Here is an 18097-nt window from a genome sequence, read left to right as displayed (position 1 = left end):
GTTTTTGAATGGAAATTATCCTAGTGTGCTTAAAAATATGTAAACATGCCCTAGATCTATCAGAGTGGTATTTCTGAAATATCACACATGTTCAAAACTTACCCAAGTAATTATGTTTTACAGCTTTTAAAATGGTATGTATCTCTGAACACACACACCACATACACACACGCCACATACACACATATTCCACATATACACACATACTCCACATACACACACATACACATGCACATGCACACACACACACACACACACATACTCCACATGCATATGTACAGAGTCCAGAGTTCAGGTTTGAATATAGTATTTGTGTGATTCCTTCTTTAGATGATTAAGACACTGAGAAGTTTAATCAACTCTTCCAGGAATACAACGTGCATCTTTCAGCAGTGGTGAAGTGGTACAGGTTTCTTGCACACTATCTGAACCCCAGGGACTAAATATCTTACTCATTCAGGTTTCTGAGGCCTGTATGCAAGGATATAGAAGGAGCAGGCTTGGAGACACCAGTCTCACCATTCACAAAGCCATCTTCCTGGAATGAACACCTTCAATTATAGATGGCATCAAACCACAAGGGTGAGAGGCTGCTTACCTGGAGTATTTCTCTTACTTAAAAAGAATTTTCTCCATTCTCTTCCACCTCTTCTACACCTACCCTGTCCGAGTAAATTATCAATACTCTTTCTTCTCCAAAGACCATCTTCTTGGAAGAGGCAGGGTAGTGTAAGCATCCTGGTTAAGTGCACAGGCTCTGAAGATGTATGGACCTGCGTTCAGGACCTGGCCATCTCACTTATTAGCAGCGCGACCTTGGGCAGGTTATTTACCATGTTGAAACCTCAGTTTCCTCATTTATGAAATGGAGAAAACTACTATAGAGCCAAACTTGCCCTGTGTTGTTATAAGGCTTTAATGAAGAGTTAGCACAAAATATGTGTATAGTGTGAGGGAAGGGTCCAAGAGCAGCTGGGTGCCTCCCCTCTGTCTCCAAGAAGAATCTTGTACTCAATACAGGATGTGCTGGCAGGTGCACAAATAGCATTACATGCAAAGAGCTCAGAGCACAGCCAGTGTGGCCGGTTCCTGCTGCGTTCGGCACATGCAAACCTCTCCTGGAACTGCTTAGCTACGCATGCTTCAGTGGCCCTCCGGCATGCACCCAGCTTTCTGTATTTCAGACCACAGGGGACAAGCGTTTCGGTCCTTCTACTGCAGCATGAAGTTGAAGTTGGCTGCAGAACATATCTGCTAGCCACGGGGGACCAAAGCATTGCAAGGGGCTGGATCTTGTGCACAGCCTCTTTCCTCTTGCTGTAAGTAAATGCTATACTAATTGAGCCTGGTTTGCATGTTGTCAGTTCTCAGCAACCTGAATCATGCACTGGTCTCTTCCCTGGTTGGTACTGATCTGCCTTTCGACCTTGGCCTCACCCACTTTCTCTGCTAAAGCGCAGACTGACCACTCAGTGAAACACAGCATAACTACTGAATAAGTGAGAAATATTTGTGAACTACATCACATCTAAATGGCAACAATGGTAAGAAGCATCACTGTTTTAGGTATCAATAATAAAAACACCCCAATTATACTATGACAAACTATTGATTTTAAGGTACATTCTGACTTCAGATACTAAAATGTGAAAGTAGTATGCAGCCTAGAACCCATGAAGTACAGTATTATTATAAGGAAAATAGATACCTGCATGAAAAGGCACTTAGTGCTTTCTCCAATTACATAGAAAAAGAGTTTTCTTACGGATGTGGACGTGCATTTAAATATGAGTATGCATGAACTTGTAAATGGCATCCAATTCTTAAATCCCCTCAAAACTATCCCTATGTCGTCACTTCCCACGATCACTCACTGTCATTTTTCCTATTTCCATTTGGTGACTGACTTTTGGTGCTATCAGCATTTAATTTCCCTTTGGACACCTTTTATCCAAATCATCTCCATTATTTCTCCCTTGCTCTACCTGTACTGTACCTTCTTCCTCCTACTTCAATGGGATTCCAAGACCAAAATCTCATTTTTGAAAAAGTCTTTGCAGTAAAAGCAAGTTACCAGATGATCAGCTTGTCCTCTAATGCTAGAATTTGTTCTATGTGATTAATTCCAGGGACTTGAGCCTTGAGTTCAGGCCTCCAAACACAGTGGGCAGGGCCCCCATCTTCTGTTCACTTTCCCCAGGAGCATCCCTGCCAGCTTCTCTTGGGGCTGCTTCTTCTCAAAGACGCCCCTTCACTAATAGGGGCTTTTTTGGGCAGTGGCTTTGCCTATGATTAATGATAATGAACCCAACTTGGACCTTTGGCTTTCTGGCTCTTAGCAGAGTAGCCAAGATATTTCTCTAAACTGAGATAGTTGGCTTCAGTTCTAATTAATGATCAGTTGTTATCAGCTTAGTTTAGACTGTTTGCTCTCTGACTTTTTGGCTGGGTAGCCTAAACACTTCCCAGATCCAAAGGGCTGGCTGAAATTTATGTTCCTTTTTTTGGCACTGTCTTGATAATTCTGATGCTTTCCCGGATCTGGAAAAAGATTTTAATTGTTTACAGTCTTGATTAATGGGTTTGCTGTTGCTTTGATAGTCCATCATTTATAATGATAAGAAACCAAAAACAAATGGGCATTTTATATTGCTCTTCTGGGATATTTTGGTCAATCCTTTTTAAGGAGTTACTGTTTTGTTTCCTTCCCTATTACCATTAAGTTACTAATAATTTCATTTTAATTGAACTTTAAACTATCACTATTTCCAACTCCCTTTCTCCCTGCAGTATTTCTTATGCTGTAGAATTTCTCACTGTTGTTTCAGCGAAGTCCTTTCTCAGAGTCTTCTGCTTGTATATCTGAAGTTAGCAGCTCACTGAGACAGTTTGGTTTCGGTTTGCTTGCAAACACAGGGCGTTCTTATCGCTTCTTTAACATCTATCACTAAGCTCAGTGAACCTTGTCTTCTTACTATCAAATAAATTAATTCCTTAGACTCCTTAATCATTCTTTGGTTAATTACCTCATTTGGCCAAGTAAATAATCCCGGTTTTAAAATGGAACCCCAAGTTCACTTTTACTAACAAGTTTTATTTCTGTACTATCAGCTTGTTATCTAAGTTCTAGTTCATGTCAGAGGTTCTTCTTGATATCCAGCTATTATTTATGAGGCTGCTGCTGTTATGAATTAAGGCAATTCTAACCTAGTCTAGATGGCCTCAGCTTTCCAAATACTTCACTTAGAAGGAAATATATGTTTTCTCTGCTAGAATTCTCTGCATCTGTTTTATTTGCTACCACAGAGAAAAGAATGAAAAAAGAAACAATACAGAGCATTAGAGTGAAGTGACAGTGTCAATTTTTTTTCTATTTCTAAGGTGATTTTTGCCCATCCAGTTCCATAGGACATTTTCTTGACAATGACACTAAAAGCCAAAGTTTGCTCTCAGTTATGTTTGATGCCTTCAATCAGCCGTCACCTGCCTTTACATTGATTGATTTCTGTATCCTGATTCAAATATCTGTATATATTTTTTGTTAGATGTTAATAGATATTTCAAACATGGAAGAAAGCATCTCTCTCTAAGTTCACCAATGACTTCCTTTTGGGAGAAATTCTAGGTGTTTTCCTCTAACTCATTCTTTTTGACCTCTCTACTGCAATTGATACTATTGATCCTTCACCCCTTCTGGAAGCCCTTTCCTCCCTTAGCTTCCATGATCCTACGAGGTCCTAGCTCTCCTCCTCCCTCTTCAATCATTTTTTTTCTGTCTCCTCCACAGATCCCCTCTTCATTCTCCCATCCTCTAGCCCTAGGCCACCCCAAAAGCCTGTCTTAGCCTTTTATTCCTCTGTCCCTACACTTTTCCCTCCAGAATGCATGGCCTCCTACAGGTTTACCCATCACCTCTATACTGATTGATTCCATTATCTCTAAGTTTTGTTCTCCCACCTGAGTTCTGATTCACATTTTTGTTTAGAGAATTTCCTCCTGAATACCCTGTTATCATCTCATATTTCACTTATCCACTTATTTTGCAAATATTTATTGCATGTCTATGAGGTGCCAGGTACTATGCTCAGCCCTGAAGTGATGATCAAAATATACCATTTCTCTCAAAGAGCTGAAAGCTCAGTAGAACTTGAGAATTCTATCAAATTATTTGTAAAGCAAAGCAAACAAAGCAGAACAAAAACATGCTGCACTTCTTTGTCCCCCAAAGGTGCTCTGTTCCTCTCTTTCCCAACTTTTTCCCTCTTTCTAATTAGTCCTTCATTCTCCCAGCCATCCAAGTTGTAATGCTTCATCTCAATTTTTGTGTATTAGATTTCTTCTGTAATAATCTTTCTAATGAACATCTCCAAATTTCAACAGCTTACAACAAGCATTGATTTCATATTTATGGGTCTGTCAATGAGTTGCAGCTCAGCTGGCCTCATCTGGAATGGGGTAGAGGAGGCAGGGCTTCATGTTGAGTTTGAGTCTTCAACTTAGATCTTCATTCTTGGACCCAGGGTGAAGGAATATGGCTACTGGGAGCAGGCTCTTCTCATGGCAGAGGGTGGAAGCTTCAGAAATGTGGGTAGACATTTGGCATGGTTTTCAAAGCCTCCTTTTTAGAGCCAGTTACAAGGTCAAGCCCAGGATCAATGGCACTTTGCCCCTTTACCCCCATGAAGTGAAAAAGAAGGAAAAGAGTGAATATTTGGTGAACAATCAATCATTTAATCTAACCCATATTTCTTTCTTTCATCATCAATAACAACTAACCAGCTAATAAGTCCTGTCAGTTCTTGCATCTGTGTGTCTTCTCTATTTATCACTTCCTTAGCCATCTATTATTCCTGCAGTTGTACAACGGGGCTTAATGCCTCGCCACATCTCTCTCCTTTTGATCTTTTTCTTTTCTTTTTCTTTCTTTTTTTTTTTTTTTTGAGATGAGGTTTCACTTTTGTTGCCCAGGCTGGAGTGCAATGGCGTTATCTCGGCTCACTGCAACCTCCGCCTCCCAGGTTCAAGCGATTCTCCTGCCTCAGCCTCCCGAATAGCTAGGATTACAGGCATGTGCCACCACACCCGGTTAATTTTTTGTATTTTTAGTAGAGATGGGACTTCACCATGTTGGTCACAGGCTGGTCTTGAACTCCTGACCTCAGGTGATCTGCCCGCTTCAGCCTCCCAAAGTGCTGAGATTATAGGCATGAGCCGCCGTGCCCTGCCACATCTCTCTCCTTCTAAAACAGAAACTGACAACTGTTCTCCAAAATGACTGTACCATTTTGTGGTATGTTTGTGGTGTACATTCCCACCACAAAGGTATCTTCACCAGCAGTCAGTCCGTCCTTCCTTCCTTCCTTCTTCTCTCTCTCTCCCCATCCCTCCCTCTCTCTCTCTTTCATTTCTTTCTTCTTTCTTTCCCTTCCTTCCTTTCTTTCTTCTTTCCTTTCTTCCTTTCTCCTCTCCTTCCCCTCCTCTCCCTTCTTCTCCCCTCCCTCCCCTTCCCTTTCCTTCCCTGCCCGCCTCCCTCCCTCCCCCTCTCCTCTCCCTCCCTCTCTCTCCTTTCTTTATCTTTCTTTTTTCTTTCTTTCTCTCTTTCTTTCTTTTCTTTTCCTTCCTTCCTTTCTCTCTCTCTCTTTCTTCTTTCTGTCTTCTTTGTCTGCCTGCCTTCCCATTCTAATAGATATGTAGTAGTATCTCACTTTGGTTTTAATGTTTTATTTTGTTTTGTTTTTTGAGACGGAGTCTTGCTCTGTCACCTAAGCTAGAGTGCAGTAGCATGCTCACAGCTCATTGCAGCCTCAAACTCCCAGGCTCAAGCGATCCTCCCATCTAAGCCTCCCTAGTAGCTGGGACTATAGGAGTGCGCCACCATGCCTGGCTAATTTTTGTACTTTTTGTAGAAAAAATATAAAACATCAGTTTCCCTATGTTGCCCTGGCTGGTCTCCAACTCCTGGGCTCTGGTGATTTGCCCGCCTCGGCCTCCCAAAGTGCTGGAATTACAGGTATGAGCCACCGTGGCCAGCCTCAATTTGGTTTTAATTTACATAACTCTAGTGAGTAAAAATGGTGTCTTTTCATAGATGCTTATTTACTATTCATGTTTATCTCCTTTGGGGAAATGTCTGTTCAGTCTTTTACTCATTTTTTAAATTCAGTTGCTTGTCTCTTTATTATAGAGTTTTGAGAAATTTGTATATGTGATAGATACAAATCTTTTGCCAGGTATGTGTTTGCAAATACTTCCTCAAATCCTGTGGCTTTTCTTTACTTTCTTTTAGTGACTTCTGTGGAGCAGAAATGTTTTATTTTGACAAAGTCCAATGTATCAATTTTTTTCTTTTATGGATCTTATTTTTGGTGTCATAGATAAGAAACAATTTGCATAACACAAGGCCACAAAAGCTTGTTCTTATTTGTTTTTCCTAGAAGTTGTATAGTTTTAAGTTTTACCTTCAGGTCTATGATCCATTTTGAGTTAATTTTTGTATAAAGTGAGACATATGAGCCAAGGTTCTTTTTTTTTTTTGCATGTGGACATCCAATTAGTTCTTCCTCTAATAAAACCTGCATACTTCTGCCAAAATTAGCTTCCCAAGCATCGGAATCTTCCTATGAGATGCCTGAACACAAAATTCAGAAGATGATCGAAGAGGTCTTGACTCATTTCTTTGTTTTTATCCTTGTCCTTCTGGTTTCCTTCACTCTCCTCCTCCCTCTGTAGTCCCTTAGGTCTTTTGGCTCTCCTCCTCCATCCCTGGCTTTTTCTATTTTCCTTCAACCCTCCTCCCCACTCTTCTCACACTGGCTTCCATTCAGGTTTCCCCTGATGAAGCTGGGGCAGGGAGCTACATAACCTGTGCTTATGAGGAAAGAATGAAAGGAAACATACTCTGCTGTGCAGACTTCAGAGTGAACCTTCTACAGACAAACAAACCTCATGAAACAGCTGAGAATTTCCTCCAACATCACATTATTTTAATAAATCAAATTAAATCTGAGTCCCAGGCTACATGCTATAAGATGGGAGAAATCTAATTAAAACAGTGTAATTAGAACAGTAGAGAGGAAGACAATACAGTCTAAATTTGCAGCATTTGAGAGTTTGGCTTGATTAAAAGGGCATTTGGAAATTAAGTCACAGGGATCTTTAGGTGACTGGACTGTAATGGCCAGCTCAAATCCGGCTTGTTGCTGGTGAAAAAAAAACATATAAAGAAAGTCACGCGGCTCCTTCCTGAGCCCAGCCATCTAATGTCAGCAACCACAGTGGAGATTACAGCTTATAACTTTCCTCTTATACATGCATCTGATTGGTGAGTAACTGAAAGAAACCCTGCTCCCCTTTCCTCCTGGACCATTGGTAAAATCTTCTTCTACCTGAACCTCTCATCTGCCCCTGGCAATCGGAACTCACCCTATTAAAACCTCTAATGAGGTTTACAGATTGGATGAATCACAAGATTGACATCTTGTCCTGGCCAGAGTAAGGAGATGCCCTTTTCTTGATTTTTTTTTTTTTTTGTCTTCTACTCTTATAATTAATTTGAAAACTCTTGTATAAATGTATGCCAATATGAACAATTGGACTGTTCCATACATGATCTTTTCAGGACTCTGGCTGAGGGGACATTATGTGACAAGACCCCTCCCTGCCTTCATTCCATGGAAAACAATTTCATTGCTGGGATTTTAGTGGAAGTTGACATGAAATGTAATTCTTCATTTTGAGAGAGGAAAAGAAATCTAAGTAGATTAAGAGCTGACTCATAATTGTGATTTACTTTGGCTTTTTAATTTGAACGTTTTAATTGCTTACTTTACAAATTGAGCTTTAAGAAAGTAAAATAATAAAATGAGATTTATAACTCTGTGTCTACCTTCAAAGGGCTGTGCTTGTGATTTCTCTAAGACAAAGAAGCCATATGCCCCTCTGCTTCCAATTATTCTTGCCCGCCTTCTCTCCTCATCTCTAATTTTCTTTTTCATCCTTTGTCTCCCCATGTGTGCACTTGAAGATCTTTCAGTGACTTATAATAAGTGTATCTAAAACAAGACTCAAAGGGAGAAGTACAGGTTGCTAGAGAAAGAGAAGCTATTCCAACTCTAGATCCTCAGGCAATTTAACGGCTTGCACAGCAGCCCCTCTGCCCTGAGACGGCCCAATCCTTAATCCTCAGATGCTGCCCCATCACCTTCTCCCCATTGTCCCTCACACTGTCTTTCCTTCCCTTCCTGAAACTTGCAACCCTTTCCCAGCCTCTGAGCACCCTGTTCTTTCTACCAGGACACCTCACTGCTGGCTCTCAGCCTGGCTGCCTCCTTCTTAACCTTTAAGCTTCAGCTCAAATTTTGCCTCCTCTTAGAGGCTTTCTAAGGAAGGTCTGTACCCACTACCCTGGTTTTTCTCTGTAAGTATCCTGTTTGTTTCCTTCACAGCTCATGTCACAATGTGTAATTGTCTCCTTTACTTTCTGGGTCTTGATTTCCCTTTCTGTTTGCCTTTGGTTTTTCTTCTGGTCTGTCTTCCATTCTGATTGTGAGCAAAGTGGGTAGGGACCAGGCCTTACCAGTAGAAACCATAGCTCCAGGGATAATACCTGGTGCATGATAGGTACTTAATAAACATCCATTTAGTGAGTGAATGTATGAATGAATGAATGAACTATCCTCTCCAGAATGACCCAGTCCACGAAGTTGCTCTGAGTAACTCTTCCCTGCTTTGATTCCAAACCCTACTCATCAAGAGTTCCAGAGAGGACTATTTCTAAGGTCAGACCCAGAAGAAGTTACCCCAAGGAAAACACAGGACAGAGTGAAACAATGCCTGGATCTTTTTTTAGTGAAAGGAATTTACTCAAATTGAATCAGGTGTCTAATATAGATAGCTCAACGCAAACCACTTTGGTTAAACAAAAAATAAATGATCCATAACCCATGCACAGGAAACCCTGGAGGCATCATGCCAACCTTAGCAAGATGGGGCACTGCCCTTAGCCTAGAATAAAAAAGAAAAAAATTAATGTTAAATATTCTTGAGGCCAAGTCTCTGAACAGCTGCAAAAGACAATGGTTTTCCCCTTATTGAACATTTGTAATTTTTGTTACTATTTTAATTGGTATGTAATAATTTTACATATTTATGGGGTACCGAGTGATATTTAATACATAGATACAATGTGTAATGATCACACCAGGGTAATTGGCATACCATCACTGCAAACATTTATCACTTCTTTGTGCTGTGAGCATTCAAAGTCTTCTCTTTCAGCCATTTTTTTAAATCTTGAGTTTCTGAAAGGTAGCTACTTTAAAATATTCATCTTTATTTCTCTATCACAATCCCTAGCATAGGAGTATATGCATAAGAAAATACAGATATTATAAAAATACTTGGCCCTTTAGTTGTATTTGTAGGTATGCTCCATTACTAGAAACAAATTCTTATTATTAGCTGATATACACAAAGTCCAGAGGATGGTGAGAAGTAATCCGTGTTTTCTTTATGGAGTTAGCCCATAAAGAGTTCATCTTGGATGAATATCTGAGAATGACCCTGTATCTCTGGTCTCACCAGAGATCTCGCCACTGATCTTTCCATCTGTTGTTCCCCTAGCCTTTCCTCCTGGGTTTATGCCTCAATCTGGAGAGTGATACCCCATCTTTACCATATGTTGCTAGAATAGGCTTTTATAGCTTAAGTTTTTTTCAGAGTATTGTATTTATAAGATGTGTTAGAATTGGGTTCAACTGCATATAGCATAAAGCCCCACAGTGGCTTAAAGAGAGACATTTATTTCTTTTCTAAAGAAATTGGAGGAAGGAGGTGCCAGGCTGATGGGGCAGCACCACATTATTAGGGGCCGAGGCTCCTTCAATCTCTCTGCTCTCTCACCTTCAGCCTTAGACCTTGTGATCCAAGATGGCTGCTGGACCTCCAGTTCCAAGCAGGAAGTACAGGAAGCGGGCAAAGGCAACAAGGGTGTGATGAACATGAAGCCAGCCCCCTTCGCTGAGATTTCCCAGAAACCTCACCCCCTGATTTCTGCTTGCACTCACTGGCCAATTCTATCTGCAAGGATGATAAGAAATATTTTATTTTAGCTGAGCACATTGCTGCCCAGTGTTCTATTACCATGAAAATAAGAGGAAAATGGATGTTGTGTAACCCAGAGGCTTGGTGCATGCATCAGAATCTTCTGGTGGCCTTATTAAGACACGGTAGTTCCCCCTTATTCACGGGAGATCCATTCCAAGACCCCCAATGGATGCCTAAAACCACAGATAGTACTGAACGATATATATTCTGTTTTCTATGTTTTATCCTAGACATACATACTTATGGTAAAGTTTAATTTATAAATTAGGCACAATAAGAGATGAACAAAAATAAGTAATAAAATGAGCAATTATAACAATATTCACAATGGCACATAATTTAAAACTTATGAATTGTTTATGTCTGGAATTTTTCATTTAATGTTTTCAGACTGTGGTTGAGCATGGGTAACCAAAACCACAGAAAGCAAAACCTTGGCTAAAAGGGGGACGACTATACAGACTGCTGTGTCCCTAGAGTTTCTGACCGAGTAGGTCTGGGGAGGATCCTGAGAATTTGTATGTCTAGTGAGCCTCCAGGTTATGCCGAAGCTGCTAGAAGGGGGACCATGTGTCCAGAATTTGGAGATCCACTAGTATGTCCTTCAGAAAAACTTTTTTTTGTTTGTTTGTTGTTGTTGTTGTGTTGTTGTTGTTTAAGACAGAGTCTCACTCTGTTGCTCAGGCACAACACCGTGTACAGTGGCACATTCTTAGCTCACTTCGACCTCGGCCTCCTGGGTTCAAGCGATCCTCCCACCTCAGCCTCCCAAGTATCTAGGATTACAGGCATGCACCACCATGCCCAGCTAATTTTTGTATTTTCAGTAGGGACGGGGTTTCACCATGTTGGCCAGGCTGGTCTTGAACTCTTGGCTTCAAGTGATCTGCCCACCACAGGCTCCCAAAGTGCTGGGATTACAGGCGTGAGCCTCCGTGCCCAGCCTGAAAAGCTTTTTTTCCCCCTGCTAATGTTGACCATCTACTTATTTTAACTTCAGTGTATTATTTTACTAACAAATCTCCAGACTTTTTATTCCACCAAAGAGACCCTTCCCGTCAAATGTATAGAGAGAAAGAAAAGCAGGGTAAGGGAGAGAGGAAATCAAGTTTTGTCATAACTTTCATGGCTGGAAATCATGAAATCAGAAAGTTGAGAAATAGACTGAACGGGGTTGGGCTTTAGCAGTGTTCATTACTGATGCTCAAGTGAATGAAACAAGAGCTATCACTAGAAGCTAAAAGCCAGCCCAGTAGCAGATCCCAGAGGATTAGGGGACTTCCTAAAGACCACATAACTGGCCTTCCTCTGCCGTTGGTGGTGCAGGATAATTGGGTGGACTAAGCCTTAAGCAGGAAGACAATGTTATAGACCAGCTAAAGACAGGAGGAGGGAGAGGACCAGGGTCTATGGGCTGGCCAGCAGTTCCAGCCAGCCTGGGGTCGGGATTGAATTGCCTGGGAAAAAGAGGCCTATATGCTGACAGTTCAGCCAGGTGGTACTCACTCCCCATCCTCCATTTCTCCCTTGCTCTCTCCCAGTTTTTTTGTTTTCCAGAAATTTGCTGAGCAAAGGGAGGAAAAGAAAAGAATTTTTGTCTGTGCCTCAGCCTAAAGAAATAAAAATCTACAAATCCTTGGAGACTGAGTGTAGTAGGGAGAGTGAAAGAAAAACTTAAAGAAACCCAAAGGAGAAGTGAAAACTTGGGCCAGGAAAGTCAGAGGCCACTTACACAGAAGTACTTGCCCCTTCTGGGGTTGTTTACCACACAAGCTCTTTTTTTCTTGTCACTTGGGGAATTTTTGTGTTTTATTTTATAGTGTAATTCCCACACAAAGCATTCTCCTGGTGGAGTTTGATTTGAAAATGATGCTCTATAGTTTCAATCTGATTGTGTGTGAGAGAGAGTGTGTGTGTATGCACACGTGCACGCACGCGCACATCTCTTCAAAATTGTTCATTGTCAAAAGGAGGAGGAACATGAGTTCCTGTGCCTTGTTTCCTTCTTTAAGGTTTGGGCCCCCAGAAAGCATGGACTAGCACTTCTAAAGTATATATATTTGGAGAAGTAGAGAAGCTTTACTGGGAAAACAGAAACTCAAAATTCATTTTATTTGTTCATTTAAAAAATTTTTAGGATGGGCGCAGTGGCTCATGCCTATAATCCCAGCACTTTGGGAGGCCGAGGCGGGTGGATCACCTGAGGTGAGGAGTTAGAGACCAGCATGACCAACATGGAGAAACCCCATCTCTACTAAAAATACAAAAAATTAGGCTGGCATGGTGGCACATGCCTGTAATCCCAGCTACTCAGGAGGCTGAGGTAGGAGAATCGCTTGAACACGGGAGGCGGAGGTTGTGGTGAGCCAAGATCGTGCCATTGCACTCCAGCCTGGGCAACAAGAGTGAAACTCCATCTCAAAATAATAATAATAACAATAATATAATAAATTTATTAGAGACGGGATCTTGCTATGTGGCCCAAACTGGTCTTGAACTCCTGACTTCAAGCTACCCTCCCGCCTTGGCCTCCCAAAGTGCTGGGATTATAAGCATGAACCACTGTGCCTGGCCTCAACATTCACTTTAAGATTCATTTAATTGACTTATAATACAATTTAGACCTTGAACTTCTTCCACCCTTCAAAAAGGCACTTCAAAAACAGGAATCCTGCAGAACTCATCATAATCTATAGAAACATATCACGTTAGCCATAGAACATCCTTTGCTAGGTCAACTCTCGCACTTGAGGACAAGGAAGCTGAGGTTTTAAGTGGAGAAGTGGCTTGGCTGATGGTCACTAGCAGTGACTTTCCAATGTATGTATTCTGTTATTCCCACATTTTTTTTTTGAGACAGGGTCTTACTTGTTGCCCAGGCTGGAATGCAGTGGCACCATCTTGGCTGACAGCAACCTTGACCTCCGGGTTCAAACGATCCTCCCACCTCAGTCTCCTAAGTACCTGGGACTATAGGTGCTTGCTACCACACCCAGCTAATTTTTGGATTTTTTTTTTTTTTTTTTTTTGGTAGAGAAGGGTTTTCACCATGTTGCCCAGGCTGGTTGCGAACTCCTGGGCTCAAGCGAGCCACTCACCTCGGCCTCCCAAAGTGCTGGGATGACAGGTGTGAGCCACCACGCCCGGCCTACTCCCACATTGGTAGGCATTCCTTTTCTACCCTTACTTCACTTTTAGCATTTTATGTCTTCATAAAGCTCTGAAACTTCTAAGTATCTTGGTAGCTTGAGTTTTCATTTCTTGTTTCTTTTTTGTTTTTTTGAGACGGAGTCTCGCTCTGTCACCCAGGCTGGAGTGCCTGTCGCCCAGGCTGGAGTGCAGTGGTGTGATCTCGGCTCACTGCAAGCTCTGCCTCCTGGGTTCACGCCATTTTCCTGCCTCAGACTCCCAAGCAGTTGGGACTACAGTCACACGCCACCACGCCCAGCTAATTTTTTTGTATTTTTAGTAGAGACGGGGTTTCACTGTGTTAGCCAGGATGGTCTCGATCTCCTGACCTCGTGATCCACCTGCCTCGGCCTCCCAAAGTGCTGGGATTACAGGCGTGAGCCACCGCACCCAGCCAGTTTTCATTTTTAATTAATTGAAACAATTCTTACTTTGTGTCAGGCATTGAGCCAGAGGTTAGGTTAGGAGGATAATAAATACAAACACCACTTTTCCTGTCCACAAGGATTCTTAGTCCAGCATAAAGATAAGTTGTACCCGATAGCTGACACACAGGGTAGAGGGAGCTCCTGTCATAGAAATGCAGAGATGAAAGGGTGGGGGTTCCGAAGAGACTCGCTTCCAGTGGGAGGCAGTACTCACAGAGGATGTGGCTTTTGGCCACTGCGGGGAATAACTGCAGATGTGACCATGATCCAGGGTCATGCAGGGAGAGGCCACCCATGTGGAAGAGACAGAATAAAGGGAGGCTGTGAAAGATTCACCAAGGACAGCAGAGTGTTTGGTCTCAATGGAGAATACGACATGTGAAGGGGATTAGAGTGATGGAAACACCCTGCCAATGGCACTTAAAGGCAGCTTTCTTAAAATATAGGAACACCTATTAGTTTGCTAGAGCTACCATAACAAAATACCACAGACTAGGTGGCTTAAGTAGCAGAAACTTATCTCCTCACCCTTCTGAGGCTAAGATCGAGATACCAGTGGTCCTGGCTTCTCCTGAGGCCTCTGTCCTTGGCTTCCAGATGTCCTCAGTGTCCTCACATGGCCTTTCCTCTGTACACACATCCTGGGTGTATCCTGCTCTTCTTATGAGAACATCAGTCATACTGAATTAAAGCTCCACCCATATGACCTCGTTTAACCTTAATCACCTCTTTAAAGGCCATTTTAAAAGCCCAGTCTCCAAATACAGTCACATCCTTGAGGTATTAGGGGTTAGGGCTTCAACCTATGAATTTGTCACATTTTGAGATATTAAGTAGATAGAACTTCAACATATGAATTTTTTGGGGGGGGCATAATTTAGTTCATAACAGATCCTTATTTATGATTATAAACTGTATAGTCTTACTTTAAGACTGATAACACTTTTATAAAAGCCACCAGGTGGCCGGGCACGGTGGCTCATGCCTGTAATCCCAGCATTTTGGGAGGCCGAGGTGGGCGGATCACCTGAGGTCAGGAGCTCAAGACCAGCCTGGTCAACATGGCAAAATCCCGTCTCTACTAAAAATACAAAAATTAGCTGGGCATGGTGGCACACGCCTGTAATACCAGCTACTCAGGAGGCTGAGGCAGGAGAATCATTTGAACCCGAGAGGTGGAGGTTGCAGTGAGCCCAGATCACACCATTGCACTCCAGCAGCCTGGGCAACAAGAGTGAAACGCCATCTCAGAAAAAAAAAAGCCATCAGGTATAATACAAGCAAATTATGTATTTACTTGTCCCACACATTTTTCTATGGATCTTTTATTCAAGTATAAAAATTAAAGGTGGAGATTCAAACACTGCATAAGACCTTAAAAAAACAATCTGCATTTCCACTCTTAGGAATTTACCCAGGAGAAATGAAAAAATATATATATGTCTATGCAGACACGTGTACACAAATGTTTATAGCAGCATTACTCATAATATCTAAAATGTGGAATCAGCTGAACTATTTATCAGCTGATATGCAAATAAGTGAAATGTGGTATATCCATGCAGTAGAATATTGTTGGGCCATAAAAAGGAAGTAAGTCTGTGTGTCACAGGATTCTTCGGGTGTTGCTTTTCCAGCCAGAAACCTCTGTGGCCAGTGGTGCTTTTCCCTGAGTTTTGCTCCGGCCTGCTGGGCTCATTCCGCCCACCAGGCCTGGCAGGCTGTACTTGGCTAGCGCTATCAACCCAGATCCCATGCCTGCCAAGGGGCAGCCAGGCCCGGAGTGGTGAAGGGTGCGTGAAGGAGCAAGCACAGGGTCTGGCCACTGCAGGCAGCCAGGCACTCCGGCTGCTGCAGTGGGGCATGCAGCTCCAGGTGACAGCACGGGCACCAGCTTCGTGCAAGCCTGCAACTGGATCTGATGCACCACAAGTGGCTTCCACTGTGGGCACACATGTCTGGACGAGGGGAGTGCAGTGGTGCCTGGAAGTTTGGAGACACCAAAATCCAGAGCCCCAAAGATGGTGTCACAGCCATGGTTCAGGGAGCCTCTAGGTCTGGGTCCCCAAAGGGCCACAGCTCTTCCCTCCTTCTTGTAGCCCACAACATGGCAAGTGGGGGAGCGTGTTTCAGCCCTGTTTGTGTTACAGCTCTTTCAGTCCCGCCAGTTGGCAGATCCTGAGTTCTTCTCCTTCCTCCACGAAGAATAAGGTACATGGATAACTGGAGGTGAGCAAGCTGAAGGAGCTTCATTGAGCCACAGAACAGCTCTCAGGAAACCCAGAGTGGGTAGCTCCTTTCCGCAGGCAAGTGGTCCTGAGGAGTGTCCAGTTCTCAGTGGACAGGAGACCCAGAGTGGGGAGCTCCTATCCATAGGCAGGTCGTCCCAAAGAGTTGAGGAGAACTGAATTGGGTAGCTCCTTCCTGCAGCTGATAGTCCTGAAGCCTCTGTGAGTGCGGCTGTGTCTGGGGGGTTTTATGGGATTCAGGAGGGAGGAAGTGTGTGCTGACTGGTCCATGGGCAGCCATGTGTGGGCCTGGAAAAAGCACCATAAGTTCTTAATCTGGGCCTCAGATTCCATCCAGAAATGAGAGCCTGGCCCCCATACTTCAGGCCGTACCTGAGTTGAAGGTGGGGCTTCGCCCGGACCTGCCCCTTTCTGCCCAGAAGCCTGTCTGCCTCCTGCTGCCATCATGGGACCCAAGCTGCTACAGCTGAGGAGCCGGCAGGCCCTCCCTTGGCCTACCTTCTGTGATAGTGCTCAAAGTCAGGAGGGGGCCGAGGTGGCAAAGGGCTGGCGTGTCAGCCCCACCCCGAGCGCACGCATACCCGGCCAGGTTACCACAGCACCCGGACTCGGCCTCAACTTTTCTCCGAAATCGGAGCGGGCGCCAAGAACAGATACAGGCCAGGTAGCAGGAGCAGGCATTTCCGAGCCTGTGGGGGAGGCTGCACCCAGGCGGGCAGGGCTCGTGCCACGCCAGCTCCGACCCGGGCAGGGCTCCCGCCTGTTCCCGGCTCCTGCCAACTCCATGGAGTTACAGCCTTGGCCGTGCCTCCCCTGCTGCTGCCAGCGTCTTCACAGTGGCCGCTCCTGACGGCTGCCGCTGCCATCACTTGGAATGCTACGTTTAAAAGCCAGATGGAAAGGACTACATACTCTATGACTCCGTTTATATGAAAGGCCCCAAAAAGGCAAATTTATAGAGACAGAAAGCAGCTTGGTGGTTGCCTGGGGCTGGAGAAGGGGATGGAGACTAATGTAAACGGATACAAAGGAACTTTTTGGGGTGAAGAAAATGCTCTAAACCTAGATAGTGATGATGACTGCACAACTCCATACATTTACTGAAAGCGTTGATTTACGTGATTACAATGGGTGAATTTTATGGTATGTAAATTACACTTCAATAAAGCTGGAAAACGTTAATGAAAAAATACATAGGAGGAATTGAAAATTACAAGAAAATAAAATGAACTTCAGAAATTTCCTGCAATCAGACAGGAAAGCTCATTCCTTCCATCTGTAGCCTGCTGAAGGAAAAAGTCTACACTCCCCGCCATCCCAAGTGAGCCCTTGGTTCTGCACTGTGTGGGGCAGAGGACAGGGAAGGACTTTGTGGCCCAGGGGTCTTGTATTCTGTTTCCCATCCACTGACTAATTCCTGGTGAAGTCAGGTAAGTGGTAAAATCTTGTAACAGTAACACTGGGAGGGTCTCAAGGACCCACCCCCTTGTGCAAATCTCTCATTTAACTGAAGCTGAGGTGGAGGCTCAGAAAGCTTTATGTAACTGACTTGCTCAAGATGTGCTCAAGACATCTGGTGAATGGCCAGATGGAATCTATCCCAAGTCCCCTGGTTTTTAGTCCAGAGTCCTCCATTGGTCTGTCTCTCCACCTCTCTTAACCTCTGTCAGCCCCCGTTACCTCATCTGTAAAATGGGCAGACATATCTTCCCCTGCCTGTGTCACAGGGCCATGTGAAGATCAAATGAGAAAAGTAATGTGGAAATGCTTTCAAAAACAGAAAGTTCTCTACTAATGCAAAGTGCTATTGTAGTAGTAATTACCGGTTAATTGTGAGTCAGTCCAGCTCAGAACTCAGACCAAAGTTCTACGAGAATGCACTTCCAGGAAATGCATTCTTCTATCCTGATGTGAGTGTGAACCTCTGGTTAAAGCTGCCCCCCCTGTAACATGGAGGGTATTGGGGGTGAGGGGTGGAAAGCAGTCTGGGCACCATTCCCTTAATTTTCCAGAACATTCCCTGATTCCAGAATATCATTATCTTCCTGTTGCCCATCCATGACACTTTAATGAATTTGAAGACAATTAAATTAAGTCTCTGTGCATTCAACTATGATTCCTCAAGTA

General features: G+C 43.4%; 1 long non-coding RNA gene across 1 annotated transcript in view; it reads left to right on the top strand.

Annotated features, from left to right (window-relative positions):
• The window catches only part of LOC105374428 (uncharacterized), a 92257-nt gene that overhangs the window by 28466 nt on the left and 45694 nt on the right, over positions 1 to 18097 (top strand). The window lies entirely within an intron of this gene.

Source organism: Homo sapiens, chromosome 4 (genome assembly GCF_000001405.40).
Source record: "Homo sapiens chromosome 4, GRCh38.p14 Primary Assembly".
In the NCBI taxonomy this organism is placed as follows: domain Eukaryota; kingdom Metazoa; phylum Chordata; class Mammalia; order Primates; family Hominidae; genus Homo; species Homo sapiens.
This window is presented reverse-complemented; position numbering and strand designations above follow the sequence as displayed.